Here is a 16,069-nt window from a genome sequence, read left to right on the forward strand (position 1 = left end):
TGATAAGAGGACAAGAAACCACCAAATTGCTATTTAGGGTCATTGGGATCTGCAGAGGGAAACAAGGCTGAAGAGACAAGAGGAAAGACACAGCTGTGAGGGTCAAAATCTAAAAGGAGCTCCTGAAGGGATGCTTAATGTTTTCAAGCTATCAACTGCAGCATGCTAGGTCTATCATCTGTGTATCATTGCCAAAGCAAGACCCATAAACATCAGATTTCACTTGGTTATAGAATTCAGAGAAATACTACTGGGGCAATGACAGGGAAGAGACACTGCACATTCTCAGTGGAGGAATCGTCCCCTCTGTCCTTCAACTGGTGCCATCCAAAAGTTGCTATGTCAAGTAATGCTAGCTTCACTCAAATGCTATTACCCCTGGTCAACTCACAGTGATATGCACTAATGAGCAACCCATCTAATCTGTGAAGCAATGCTTAAGGAAGGTTTGAGGAAGGACGAGCTGCAGATCAGCTCAAGGATGGGACTCAAATATCATGACAGTACCATGAGCTAAGGTGCCTCTTGCAAGCTGCCTGTCGAGGCCATCAGTGGGTTAGAACCAAATTCTTCCAAAATTATTGCAGCCTGCAGTCTTCTCATCTTGTCATATAACACTTAACATTCTGGAAAAGGCCCTGCATTGGTTTTGAGTGGTATTTCCAGAATCTGTGGACCTTTGAAACAACTCCATTTTGCTGTACTTTCTCCACAATGGCTCTTTCAGATAAATCACTTGTCCGTTCCTGCCTTAGATGAGGCCTGTGGAATGACTGCATCATTTGCCCTTTCATTGTTGAAATGGTTATCAGATTTCAGGTATATCAAGACTTGCAGATCAGGCCTCTTACTCTGTGTGACTAACAGGCTCCCCCAGAACAAACCATCCAGGCACAAACAGGGGATGCAGCCTGTGGCTATCCCATCACAGGTTTCCACACCACAGTGTGAGTCCATCTTGCTGACTTAACAACCGTAATTTAAAAATCACCTTCCAAATTGCACTGATTTTATTTGTTCAAAAGATAACACACACATTATTACATGACTATCATTTTAGGGCAAAGTGGATGCACGGACAAATGTTTCAAGCAAGGAGGTAAAACTCTCCTGGATAAAAATTCACAGCATCAATTTTCTATTTTCTGCTTCCTGAATTGCATTTTCCTGGATCTGATGATTTTCTTCTTTGTATTCTTGATGTATGCATCGGTATGTCTTCTTCTGTGTTTGTGTCATGGAGGCAGCATTCTTCTTCTTTTTTTTTTTTTTTTTTGAGACGGAGTTTCGCTCTTGTTGCCCAGGCTGGAGTGCAATGGCATTATCTTGGCTCACGGCAACCTCTGCCTCCCGGGTTCAAGCCATTCTCCTGCCTCAGCCTCCCGAGTAGCTGGGATTACAGGCATGCGCCACCACGCCTGGCTAATTTTGTATTTTTAGTAGAGACGGGGTTTCTCCATGTTGGTCAGGCTTGTCTCGAACTCCTGACCTCAGGTGATCTGCCTGCCTCAGCCTCCCAAAGTGCTGGGATTACAGGTGTGAGCCACCACGCCCGGCCGGAGGAAGCATTCTTAATGTATGCATTGGTACATCTTCTGTGTGCATGTCATGGAGGGAGCATTCTTGATGTACACGTTGGTGTATCTTCTGTGTGCACATCAGGAAGGGAGCACTAAGCAGAGGTGCATAAGCAGATTCTGGACTGCAGAGCTGGGGAGCGGTCCTGGTTTTACCACTCATGGACTGTGTGCTCTCACACAAGTCTCTTAGCATTTTTGTACCTCGGGCTCCTCCTCTGTAGAATGAGGATGACAATTCTTACCTCCTAAGATTGTCATGAGCTATCAAGAAGTTAATATTTGTTATGTATTTAGAATGGCATCCAGCACGTCATAAGGACTCTGTTTTGTAGAGTACATCGAATGTTCTGTTTTGTTATATAACACATTTACTTTTCATAAATGTTGTTATCTGGCAGGTATTTTTTGGCTTCCAGAATAAAAGTTTTAAAATTAAAAGGGGTATCCAAGTATTTTTAGGAGCCTAGTATTTCCTCACTTACTCCCAAACTCTAAAAGTAGATTGGCTTTATGTTAAACAGAGAATTCGTACAGAAAAAATCTTCAGGACTGTATTCATTTCATAAATAATGTACTTTATTTTATTGCATATGGCTATTAAGGAGGGCATCCATGATCAATACAGACTAAATACAATGCACTATTCTAGTCCAGTTTATTCTCGTCTCCAGCAGCATCACATTGACCCCTATATACAGCGTGTACAGTGGAAGACAGAGCAAGATAAGTTAAGTCTCTTGTCATATCACAATAGCAAGAAATATATTTAACATCTTGATATCCAGAAACAATACGTACCCAAAAAGAAAACACTGTTTAATAACTGTTAAAGTTTATATAGCAAAAAATATTTTAAATTTAAGGTAAGTCAGGCAAAATGTACAAAGACCCAATATACATTGTGAAGTTTTAGCAAACATAACATTTATACATTTTGGTTCCATTCTGTAAACTAAATTAAAAATGTAAATATTGCATATGCCTTTTTGTGAAATGTACAGGATAGAGGAAAATTTAGCATATTATCATCTGTGTATTTTGCTTGTTTTAAGCTGCAGTATGAACACGAACCATCTGTATAGTGTCATGACTACTCTACGGATAGAGGGCGAGTTAAATATGCGTCAATACACTGCTTTCAGCAGGGTCCATATTCAGTCCCTATCGTACCTGGGGGGAGTTACAAAGCAAATACCACCCATTGATGCCTATTCCCAAAACTAAATAAAAACTTCAGGATTTTTATACATCTTAATAAAGTATATCATACACTGAAATTGACCTTCCAGCTAACATTATATGGCCTATGCACTGCTGTGATGTATAATTTCAGAAAAGTAAAACCTTAAAAATGTTCAGGGAGATCACTTTACATTCAACTTTGTCTTGCAATACAATCCTCTGTTCTAAAGTTCAGCACGGAAGCAGGAAGACTTTTGCATTGCCATTAAATATATTTTTAAGACATTGAATTTTTTGGTCTTCCTCTAAAAAAGCCTCATTTTATTAATGCATTATTCTATAGCGATAGATATCTATTATATATTTATATATATTTTTCTAAAAACAAAACAAAACAAAACCAACAACTTACATCTCCAATGAATTAGTGTAACCTCTCCATGACTATCAGAGAAGATAGGCACTGGGGAAGCCCCCACGGGAGGAGAGGTCGACAGCCCTCCAATCAAGTGTCGAGGGAGCAGAAAACGGCAGAACATTCTGCCGGTCAAGTTCAGCAGTTTTAGGTAACATCTGCGAGAACTGCCACACACTGGTATTTTCAGAATACTGAAAACATAAAACAAGGGTAGTCTTGTCCGGAATTTTTTCGACAAGTAACATGTACTGCGAGATTGCTTTTCTTCTTTTTCTTTTTCCATCAATAACATAGGGGCTGGAATGCCTCTTTTTATCAGTTTCTTTCTTTCCTTTTTTTTTTTTCTTTTTGTTTTTTTTGTTCAGGGCAGCCTCACTGGTTGACATAATAACATTTTATTAAAGATAATACGTTTTTTAAAAATCAAATCTGCCAAACCCGGACCACCCTGGAATTGCTAGCACGCCTACAGGGATTTTTGGTTACAGAAAGGCATGCCCAAGATTCAGGAGAGCAGAGACATCTGAGCTTGTAAATAGAATAAAAGGCGTTTGCAATGTGAAGTACCTACATAAACATCTACATCGAGAAGATTAAACAAGTCTGTTAAAGGTAAAAAGAGATATTCATCCCCTTCCCAAAGCCCTTCCCTCCCACCTCCCACTACCCAATACAGTTGATTTTCAAAAGTAGGTTGCTTCAGTTACATATAATAATTATTATTTAGTAATCCGTCTTCAAAGTCCAATCCCAAATTTCACTTCCATTGAGAAATGTCAGTCCCACACTGGGCTCGGTGTGGACGTAAACATCGCAGGTACCTGCACTGGAATCCAACAAGCAGCTGTCTACTTGGACCATTTCAATAAGGCCGAGGACCGCGCTCCAGACACACAGCGCAGGGGCTACTACAGGAGGTCCTGTGGGACCCCCGCCACGGAAATCCGGCTTTACCTTGAACTGAGGTAGGACTGTGGTCGTTTTGAGTGTAAGCCAGTAAATACCAGATTTTACCACTTCCATAGGTACGGGTGCACTCTCCTAGCATGCTGAGGGTTATATCTGCTTTGCCAAAAGGAAAAGAAGAAGAAATTAAAAGACACTGGCCACAATTTAAGAAGGCCAATGAAAACATCCAATTTTCTTGAGAATAACTTCTTCAGCTAATTTTGTTAAAACAAAACAAAACAAAACGCAAACAGCACAATGATGAATGCCCCATCCGGGAACAAGGGAAAGAGGCAGGTGACCTTGCCTTGTTGGTGCCTCATCTAACAGAGTCCACAGATGTTTCCAAACACAGTCATTGCTCAGATCCAAAAGAAAACTGCAAGCAGCTTCGGGCTGAAACAGTGCTGAGCGTCTTCTTTTAATGATACTCTCTGACATGTGACATCCTGGTGATAAAGCCAGACAGATCTTCACTCTGAAAAAGAAAGGAGGGAAGTTAGCAGAGACCCTCAGGAGAACAGAGCAATCTCTGGAGTTCCAGAAAGGGCCCCTCTAACCCACAGCTAGGACCTGGGTCATTTTCATAAACTGATGACCTTTGAGAAAGAAACATGTATTCATTCTGTTTTCCAGAGGTGAGTTCAGTGGGAAAACTCTGAGTTTTCCTGGAAGCAGAGCTGTTAGGTTCATGGTGAGTTGTCTAGACAGTTAGGTTCGTATTTTCAATTTAAGAAAAATATTCGCATGTGTTTTTGTGAATCATTCTGTCGAACAAGATAGAAAAAGAAGGGCCAGTTCCTAGGTTGCACTGCGTGTCTGTGTGATGGAATGACCCCTGTAACTCCTTAGGCCTTGATGCTTCCTGTGTTGTGTGGGATACACAGAATCCACTTGCCTTCCTCCCAGGGCTGCAGAGATGAAAAACTATGACACACATTACAATGCTCTGTAAACTATGTTTATTCTACAAATGTGCATTATGTTATGAAAGTGGAGTAACTAATAACTCCACACTTCTGCCCTCAGAAAACTTCCAACCGGATCATCTACCTCTTTTTGAACGTGCCCAGCAATGGAAGGTTCCTGCACGGCCTCATGTGTTGTTGCATAACCCTCAACATTAGGAAAGGGTTATTTTTATCCACTCAAACTTTCATATGTTCCAGTTTAAGTAATTTACCCTTTCGCTGTGCTCAGAGGGGACAGGGACTGAGGACACGTGGCCAGATCTAATTGCTTCCTCCCTTCCAGGATGAAGGATCAAAATTCTTTAACCTTTCTCAATTTCCAGTGTTTTAGGCCTATTTTTACTTGATATATTCCTTCTTCAAGGGACAGAACAAATTGGAAGATTTTGACCTTTCACAGCGTGCTGTTTTCTTCTTTCTAAGCTTCTTGGCTTTTTAACCAAAATGACATACTGTTCATTTTCATCACTCAGCAACATGAGGGTGAGCACCGCTTTGCTCTCAAACAGGTACATTTCCTTCCTTTGCAGATGCATTTATACCAACTGCATTTCTGGACACTCTTCTAAAATCCTTTAGAATTCTGATCCTAGCCTCTTATCATACTCCCTGACTTACTTTTTTGTGAACCAAATTCTTTTCTCTCCATCTTAAGTTTAGAGGACTGAACTCAACAAGACAGAAACTTCCAGTGTGCCCTGAAGCTGAGAGTGAGTCCCTCAAAACCACATCTCCTTATGAACTCGAGGCACTACATGCTATAGCCCCCCAAAAACCCCAAAAGCTTTACAGAAAAAATACTTGTCAATATACAAAGTGGACATTTTAAAATTCCCTACAACGCGACATTCTGAGGCTGTTTTATCTATTTTATTTATTATTATTATTAGTCTTTTTTAAGATGGAGTCTTATTCTGTCACCCAGGCTGGAGTGCAGTGGCATGATCTTGGTTCACTGCAACCTTCACCTCCCAGGTTTGAGCAATTCTCGTGTCTCAGCCTCCCAAGTAGCTGGGATTACAGGTACGTGCCACCATGCCTGGCTAATTTTTGTATTTTTAGTAGAGACGGGGTTTCACCATGCTGGCCAGGCTAGTCTTGAACTCCTGACCTCAGGTGATCCACCCACTTAGGCCTCCCAAAGTGCTGGGATTACAGGCGTGGGCCACTGCGGCCGGCCTATCTTGTTATTTTTAAAAAGCTTTATGTCCATTATAAATTTAATAAGTAAACAATGTTCTGCCAATGAACCTTAACAGAATTAATTTCTTCCTAAGGAAAGATCTGTCTTTGAGTTATCTGATTCATTATTGTTGTGATTTTCAATCCCAGGAGACTTCAGTGAGAATCTAATTGTTTGTATCCCCTAAAAAAAAACAGGCATTTGCTAAAACACACCTTGAGACTTGTAATTCACCCTAAAATGAGCTTGCATTTTGTCCCTGAGACCCTGATTTGGGAAGAATCCCATGGCCACCACAAGCAGGTAACTGAGACTCTGCAAATCCATTGACAGAAGAATTTCTAATCAATTGCTTATTTTATTTTGACACTAACAATTAGCTAAATGTGGCTGAATTATCTCATGTTAACTCTAAGTCTGTTATTTTGAAAACAGCTAAACTAGTAAGTTCTTCAGTTTCTCAAACTTAAGCACTTTGTCATATAAATGGCGGGTAAATTATTGCTGAAAAAAATTACTTTCCATTTTCATTTGTGATTTCATGAGGCCACTGACATTTTCATTGTTTTTTTTAGGATGCTGTATCGCTGTAATATTCAACTCTTATCATTACATCTTTGCGAGCTCCAATTAAGTTGAACATGTAATTTTATTTTTTGGAAGTAGAATACAGTTATCAAAACGTTAATTTCTAAGCATTAGCATTATGCAAGAAAAGAGCTGATAAATGGCAAGGAAGTAATTCATCCATGCATTTATTCATGCAATGACCTTTCAACAATTTTCTTTTTTTAATTCTACTCTGGTGCAAGGCCTCACTGATAACTTGGGGGAAGATGGCTGACAAAAAAAAAAAAAAAAAGAAGGAAAGGGGAAAAGGAAGGGCAAGCGGAAGAGGAAGAGGAAGGGGAAGAGGAAGGGGAAGGAAAGAAAAAAAAAGAAGGAGGGAGGAAGGGGAAAGGGAAGGAGAAGGGAGGAAGGAAGGGTTATTACAGGAAGATGAACCTGTTAATGGCACACTCAAAGGACACAAGAGAGCTGAGGTGAGGGAGACCAGAAACAGGATGACCACCCGCTCAGAGCCAGGCATGGGGGTGTCAGCTGTGCAGCGTTTCACACACATCTACATGCACACACGTGCACCAGAGCAAGCACAACGTGCATGTGTCTCACCTAGCCTGTCTCCTGTTAGGTTAATACAACCGCTTTCAACGGCCGCCTCCTTTCACGGTAAAGCGAGAACTGTGGTCTGGGTGTGCTCAGCGGGCACAGGCCTGTGGTTTTGCTCCCCAGTGCCCTGCCTCTCACAGACCTGCTTGCTTAGACATCCCCCCACCCCAGGAGGCTGAGGCTGATTCCAGGTGACCCTTTGGGATGCTTGGAAGCGCTCGCGGTGATTTAAACAGAATTAACCAGCAGAAACAATCCTTTGCGGAGGTGCAAAAGGGCAGCGAGGAAAAGGCTGGAGCACACCTCAGATTGGACCCAGATGACTAGGACCTGCCAGCCGCAGCAGAGGGATTGGGATACAACAGAGACCTAAGAAGCATCAGTACTAAGAATTTATGGTGGAAAAAAGGGATCTGTTTTGAAACCCTAAGTATCATTTTTATTCATTTGTTAGAGAAAGAAGGTCTAAGACAGAAGCCATCTGCCTGAACTGATGTCTCAAATACCTTTTTCCAATTGAGCTGGTGGTAGAATCTTTGCCACACATACTATTAAAGGCCCCAGGCATAGGGCTAAATGATTAACACGTGCAAGGGCTCAGGAGGGCTCTCTGTAGTTCACACACAGCTTTCAGACACCAAACACCAAGAGCTGGTGCCCCTGGTTGAAACCACCACGGCAACACGATACCTACCACCCACCTGACAGCCACCCACTCATCAGTGACACTCCCCTACCCCAGGAAGAAGAAAGCTGGAAAACACTCCAGAGATTCAAACCTAGGAATGAGAGTAAACTTTTGCCTTTATATTCATTTACTTTCAAAGTAACTGAAGTTATCCCTCACCCTGAAAATCAGCCTGGTTCATCCTGACCAGGGGAAAAAAACACACCAACAATTTTCTAACACTAATCATCTGACATCCTCAACCTTTAAATATGATCAAACTTCAGGCTTCCTGAAGATGAGATTCCAGCAAAAATTTATTTGTTGTATTATCTGTGTTCATTTTAGTAGAAGCAAAGAATTATTAATTTTATGGCTGTTCTACCCTGAATATTCACTAAGAAGGAAGAGATTTTCTGAATTCATCAGCTGTAATGGCAAAACCAAAAAGAAAACAATAAGACTCACGTGTTGCTCATGAACACAATGACAGAACACCACACACCAGTTCTGCTGCTACAGGTAATCTATATAAAAAATGTAAACTTACTGATACTCATTGAATTTGTCACATCGCTCATTACACACTGTACTACTCTGTCCCTTAGACGTTGCTTTGTGAGGAAATCCATCCACAGACGTATCCACGTAGAGTTATTTGAGCAAATAAAACCAACAAACAAAAACACTTTTAGCAGAGATGAGAGTTGTTCCATGTGACATGTCGTGCAGTGTATCCACTCCGCATCTCCTTTCTGCTGTCGCTTGTGACAGATGACATTCATACGTGGGATACAGTCCCCTGTGCCACTCACCATAATGCCCTGCAGATGGGCAATAATTCCTCCCCTTTTCTCCTCCACTTACAAGAGCAATCAGAATGCAAATGAAGGAGAGAGCTGTCAGTAAAAGCTCCACCTTCAAACTGCTCAACTTGACTCCCCCGAAAGAGAGAAAGGAGGAAAGAAAACAAATCACTAGAAAACATTGTGATTAAGACAAGGAGGAAAGCTTCCTTGTAATATATGGAACAATGTCCCAACAATGACATGTCACACGGAGCTGGGCACCATGACTGCAATCACATTACAGAAAACTGAAGTGGGCATCAAGCCTAGAACATGTTGGAAATAAGGTCAATTTGCTCCAGCCAATAAAATCAGGCAGCATTTTCGGCACACAGTCTGACTCACCAATCCTTTTTCTTCATAATTTCTCCTGACAATTTGGGTTTGGACATGTTTGCCTCCAATGTTACATTTCGATGTTCAAAATCCAGGATATACACCTGGGTCGTGGCAGCTCTGCCCAGGGAGGCCCCGGTCCTCTCTGCAGAGGGGCTTACGGCCACCACGTAGGGCCCCATGGCACGGCTGTGGGACATGGGGCCTCACAGGCCTTTGGTGAGCAACACTGGACCACCCAGAGGCCAAATTCATGGAGTAGGTAAAGATGCTTTCACATTTTCAGCCATAGCTGAATTAGGAGTGTTACAAATACTGATGTACTTGACAAAATGAAACGATACACTTCTTAAAATTAAAATTTGTATTTCTAGTAGCAAATGTGATTCCGAAAGCAAGGAAACCTTCCATGAGCTCAAACATATCGTACAGGTACATCTCAGTGCCCAGTTTCAGCCTTTTATGTTAAACACAGAATTACAAGGGAAAATTGACTTTTCAGTTGCAGGAGCAATTCTGAGAAAAATAAACCCGATAATTTAGTATCTCCAGACTTTACTAAAGCAAGACACTCTAAGAACATGAAAAAAAAAAAAAGGTAAGGTTGGGTATGATAACAAAAGCCAGAGATTCTAGGAAAAACGGTTACTTGAACTTTTCTTTTAAATTGGAAAAAAAACTAACTTAAAAGGAAAATATGGAAGAATAAGTTCCCCATGACAAACAGGGGCAATAACTTGCTTTCCTGCTGCCCTCCTTGAGAAAGACTGAAAACATTCTTTTCTATGAGCTCATCACTTCCACTGACAATTAAAATCATTTCATTTTGAATGCTTGTTAGTAAAAAAAATTCCGAATATCAAGTTGCAACTTGATGTTAATGACACAATACAAAATAGGATGAGACAATCTAGTTGTCTCACAGGCTGGATTTAGTAAAAGGTATCTCCCCCTTTAACTCCTGTTTAATCCTGCACATAAGACCTGGTCTTAATCATCCAAAACTAGGAAAATCAGGCCTCCTAAACTTTTACCTACTGCACTTCCAATTCCCTCTACACATTCAACTTTCCTATACAGGAGCCTGTATAAATTTTACAGTGCACGGCTACAGCAGATTGTGTAACACAGAATGTACACGGTTCTTTTCTGAGTGTTATTGTTAAAAACCCTGCCATGTGCATGAAGTGAGCTATTCGTCTATGGCAAGAATTGCCCACTGCCCCTGCAGCAGCCGCCAATGCCATAGGAGAAACAGTATCGATGATTCTTCTGCACAAACACCTGAGATACAAAAAGTTCCAAGAATTGCGGGTGGACCCTTTCTTTTAAATTATGAAATGTTAGACCCTTTTTAGTTAAAACCCAGACCAGGAAGCACGAACAACTTGCTGAAGCCTCCCTGCCAGTCTGTGGAAGAACAGGGTCCTCAACTTCTCCCAGAACACTTTCCTCTCTGCTCCCCTTTGGTGACAATGAGATGGGTGGGACAGGGCAGGAGCAGAGACACCTGCAACTGTCACCTGGGGCCCCAGAGTGTCAACTTCCACAGTGAACCACTAGCTCTTTATAAAACTCTCCTCGAAGGACATTAAACAGCATGCTAGCATGTCACAAGATTCAGTGAAGCCTGTGAGTCGATGAGGGTGTGCTCCATGGTTGGTCTTCCTTGCCAGCTGATGCCCAGGCCCTGCCTTCTCACCTCCCTGTCCCCAGCAGCCAGCAGCCTGCTGGTCAGGTCCTTAGTAAAGCTTATAGGTATTAAATTGAAGCGAAAACCCCATGTGGTTCATGCCATTTCTCACAGGCAGAAATGCTCAATAAAGTTTTCTAAAAGAGAACAAAGTTTTCTAAAACAGAACGAAGCTTTAGGACTGCGTGAGACCCAGAAGAAAAGAAAACCCTTTCCAGCCCACTTGGAGAGTGACGTTCCAAGCAGAGGTCAGTAAAGTAAGGCCAGATCTGGCTTGCCTGTCTCTGCAAATAAAGTTTTATTTGGGCACAGCCGTGCTCACGCATTTACATATGGCTGCTTTCACACCATAAGCAGAGTGGAGCAGCTGTGACAGAGACTGCATGGCAATGAACCTAAACTCTTTACTACCTGACCTTTCACAGAATGTTTGTTAATCCTTCAAGGAGCACATGAACATGGCAACCTTTACTAAGGAAGACAATGCGAAGAAAAACAGGCAAATTTGTCAGAAAAACACCATATATTTCCATCTGTGTGTTATACTGGGAAACTAATTGATATCCCTTTGAAAATTATCTGCAAGCTTACGTACTTTAGAAATGCAATACTATCTACTAAAAACCACACTATCCTGTTACAGACCCTACTGAAAAAGAGGACACACATCACAAAATCATTTATGAAGCCAGCACACTTTTGGAATGAATTTCTCTTAGCTACCGCTATTCTATTTGATTTTTCATGCATAACACAAAAGTGCTCAATAAATCTAATCATTGCTAAATACATCCTACACTAGCATTCTTCCTTTAACAGAAGTAAAGGTTTATATATGAGATCTACAACTCATTAAGGGTCCAAATCTTTTCTCTTTCTTGGGTCATTTGAGAATGTGAATGTAAGCATTATGCTTCTGCCCTAAGAGTATTTGGGCCAAGTGATATAAGGTGCATTAAAATCGCAAATAGCCAATGAACGACGTAATTCTTTCCTCAGACTTAACACATGTTTATACGTATGGTTTTCTTACTAATCTAAAAAAATTTTATGTACACCATAACAATGTTTATATTGTTTATATCAGAAATTATAAAACCTAATTATATTTTTGCTGCCAAATTAAGAGAATGTAGAATAATTATTTATTCACAATATATCCATCTCCAGATAGCCTGTTGTTATATATCATTTCAACTGGACCTTTTTTCTACTTTAAAAGCTTAAATAACTGTAGGTAAATCCCCCCTCCTCGGTCTATAACATCTATGTGATATAGGATTTCAGCTTTGTCTCTCCAGGGACAAATCCATCTATCTAATTTAAAAGCCTCCTAAGAATCACCACGTAGCCTTTAACTGAGCCATCTACTAGAGTCAAGGTTGAAGGGTCAAATCCTACTTAGTCACTGAAGCGCAGGCTCTCTTTGCAGAGATCAAAGTGCCCATTCTTCCTAATCGGCCATATCAAAAACATCCTGCTCTTCCCTGGGAGCCTAGGAATGACTCCATGCCCCCATCTCTGTACTTTAAACTACATGCCATTCCCACGACTCTCAGGATACAGGTGTGAAAGGCGCTGTCGCCACACCAGAGCCGGGTCCCCAGGGCTAGCATCTAGGAACCACTTCTTACCAGCTGTGTAATCTCTACAGCTATGTCTCTAAGTCTGCTCCCTCTTATGAAGATGGGGGCACTACCTCTCCCACCCTGAATTCCCCAGTGGAGTCACAGGGAACCTGTCAAATGAGATTTCATGTATAAAATATATAAATAATTAATACCAAAAATGCGTATGTTCTTTCATTCATAAAGAAGCACATGCTACTAGCACAACTGGCATTTTGTGGTTGGCTTCCCTTTGCTTTGTGCACCTTCAAATAATGTATACATGTAACCACATGCTGTGTTCTCAACTACAGACTTCTTAAGACCAGGCAGCCCTGTGCTGCCAGGGAAAGACAGGCTCCTCCCACCCTTATGTTCTGGCTAATTTGTGGAGAGCCACAGTGGTGTCTCTTAGTGCATTTGTCATCACAGCTCTTCCTCGTTCAAAATTGTATTCGTGAATGATACCACGAACAACCACAACTGCAAGCAGCAAATAAACAACTGCCGAATGCACAAAAACAATGGCAAATTGCTCCTAAAATAAAATGAACAAACTTGTTTTAATTGGACAGAAGTGGAACAGAAGTAGAATTGTTTTTCTGGGGGTAACTCTAGGCCATTTAAAGCTGCAAAGAGTGCCTTTGCCTAGCTGCTTTCTTCATGTCCTGAGGACAGGACAAAATGCCCGGGAAGGGGCCTCACATGTCTACTACTCAGGCAGCTGCCCACAGAGAACATGAATCCCTTGCCACGTCACACATGCCAAGCACACACAATGCATCATCAACAGGCTGGGCTCCGCCTGGTCCAGGCCACTGGGGGACAGCACTTCCCTTCTCTCTGCTCTATACAAAAAGGTGCCCTAAAATGCAGGCCGACATTTAAGTTCCTCTGCCACAAATGACAGAGATTTACATCTAACTAAAGCACTATTTATTGAAATTTCAGTAATGCAAAATGGAAAACGCCAAGCTACCAACTATATAAAGTTCATTTACTGGAGAAGCAAATAAAATAAGACAGCAGCAGCTGATCACCAGTCCTTGCCCAAGGATGTGGAGACAGAGGAAATCCACATCTTTGGCTCCTCTTCCCCAACAAGCATGTAGATATCCCAGCCTCAACCACCCTGACTCCAACTCCCCACCAAGCATGTAGATATCCCAGCCTCATCCACCCTGACTCCAACTCCCCACCAAGCATGTAGATATCCCAGCCTCAACCACCCTGACTCCAACTCCCCACCAAGCATGTAGATATCCCAGCCTCATCCACCTTGGATCCAACTCCCCACCAAGCATGTAGATATCCCAGCCTCATCCACCCTGACTCCAACTCCCCACCAAGCATGTAGATATCCCAGCCTCCTCCACCTTGGCTCCAACTCCCCACCAAGCATGTAGATATCCCAGCCTCATCCACTTTGGCTCCTCCTCCCCACCAAGCATGTAGATATCCCAGCCTCAACCACCCTGACTCCGACTCCCCACCAAGCATGTAGATATCCCAGCCTCATCCACCCTGACTCCAACTCCCCACCAAGCATGTAGATATCCCAGCCTCATCCACCTTGGCTCCAACTCCCCACCAAGCATGTAGATATCCCAGCCTCATCCACCTTGGCTCCTCCTCCCCACCAAGCATGTAGATATCCCAGCCTCATCCACCCTGGCTCCGACTCCCCACCAAGCATGTAGATATCCCAGCCTCATCCACCCTGGCTCCGACTCCCCACCAAGCATGTAGATATCCCAGCCTCATCCACCCTGACTCCAACTCCCCACCAAGCATGTAGATATCCCAGCCTCATCCACCTTGGCTCCGACTCCCCACCAAGCATGTAGATATCCCAGCCTCAACCACCCTGACTCCGACTCCCCACCAAGCATGTAGATATCCCAGCCTCATCCACCCTGACTCCAACTCCCCACCAAACATGTAGATATCCCAGCCTCATCCACCCTGGCTCCGACTCCCCACCAAGCATGTAGATATCCCAGCCTCATCCACCCTGACTCCAACTCCCCACCAAGCATGTAGATATCCCAGCCTCAACCACCCTGACTCCGACTCCCCACCAAGCATGTAGATATCCCAGCCTCAACCACCCTGACTCCGACTCCCCACCAAGCATGTAGATATCCCAGCCTCATCCACCCTGGCTCCGACTCCCCACCAAGCATGTAGATATCCCAGCCTCATCCACCCTGACTCCGACTCCCCACCAAGCATGTAGATATCCCAGCCTCATCCACCTTGGCTCCAACTCCCCACCAAGCATGTAGATATCCCAGCCTCATCCACCCTGGCTCCGACTCCCCACCAAGCATGTAGATATCCCAGCCTCATCCACCCTGACTCCAACTCCCCACCAAACATGTAGATATCCCAGCCTCATCCACCCTGGCTCCGACTCCCCACCAAGCATGTAGATATCCCAGCCTCATCCACCCTGACTCCAACTCCCCACCAAGCATGTAGATATCCCAGCCTCATCCACCTTGGCTCTGACTCCCCTGCATGTGACCCACTGGCACTGAAACAGTGCACAAGTCATATTCAGTTACTGCACATGCCCTTTCAGCCAAAATGCCAAAGTGTCTATAAAGTTACTCAAAAACTTAAGTCTAAGCAGAGGAAACATACATTCTTTAGCCTCGGTAGAACCTAAAATGGCAAAGATCTTGTAGACATTTTCCAATGCTCATGGGCTGGGAGGAGCCTCACACACCAGAGGACCCAGATCTGCGAAATGCTTTGGTCAGGGACATGGAGGGAGGTTTGGATGAGTGGGCAGCCTAGAAACGTGGGCCCCAACTTCTCCTGGAGGGTCCAGCAGGGTGCCCTGAGTCACCAGCAGTTGGATTCAGAGTGAGGACAGGCCCCTTGCTCCTGCCTCTCAGGCCCAGGGACAGAGGCCAGAGGCTGTGCAGGTCAGTGTGCACCCTGGCTCCTGTCCAGGCGGGCCACACCGGGAATGTGGCCACAAACACGTCTTCTGCCCTCCCCTCCTGTCCAGCAAGGAGAAGGAGGTGTGGAAGGAGAAAATACCCAGCAACATAAAGATTCCATTTCCCAAATTGCCAGAAGTTTGGAAAGGGGAGAACTGATCAATTAATGATAAAGAAAACATTTCCTACACGAAAAGGAAGTTGGACTGTGTGGTGATTGACACAGTCACATTTCCTGGTTTCCCAAGGCTGTGCCTGAGTCCTTGAAGGCCTTTAAGAATGGATTCAAGAGAGATGTAACTTTCTAACCACCTTGTTAGTAACCAAGGTGACAAAACTGAGGATCAAGCAGATGCGTACAGAATAGACAGTAGTTCTGTCCTGTGTGTTACAGACTTAATGCCTTCTCTTCCCAGAGAGCATCACGCAGTGATATTCCATTCTGGAAAATCAGCTCGACCATTTTTCCTTTTTTTTTTTTTTTTTTTTTTGAGATGGAGTCTCGCTCTGTT

At 43.1% G+C, this 16,069-nt stretch overlaps 1 protein-coding gene across 1 annotated transcript in view; it reads right to left on the minus strand.

Moving 5' to 3' along the window:
* The window catches only part of IRS2 (insulin receptor substrate 2), a 33,889-nt gene continuing 18,812 nt past the window's right edge, over nucleotides 993-16,069 (minus strand). Inside the window, exon 2 of the mRNA NM_003749.3 lies at nucleotides 993-4,606. Coding sequence (NP_003740.2) covers nucleotides 4,602-4,606 — 5 coding nt within the window. The 3' untranslated portion in view covers nucleotides 993-4,601. The remainder of the gene's footprint in view (nucleotides 4,607-16,069) is intronic.

Source organism: Homo sapiens, chromosome 13 (genome assembly GCF_000001405.40).
Source record: "Homo sapiens chromosome 13, GRCh38.p14 Primary Assembly".
Lineage (NCBI taxonomy): Eukaryota > Metazoa > Chordata > Mammalia > Primates > Hominidae > Homo > Homo sapiens.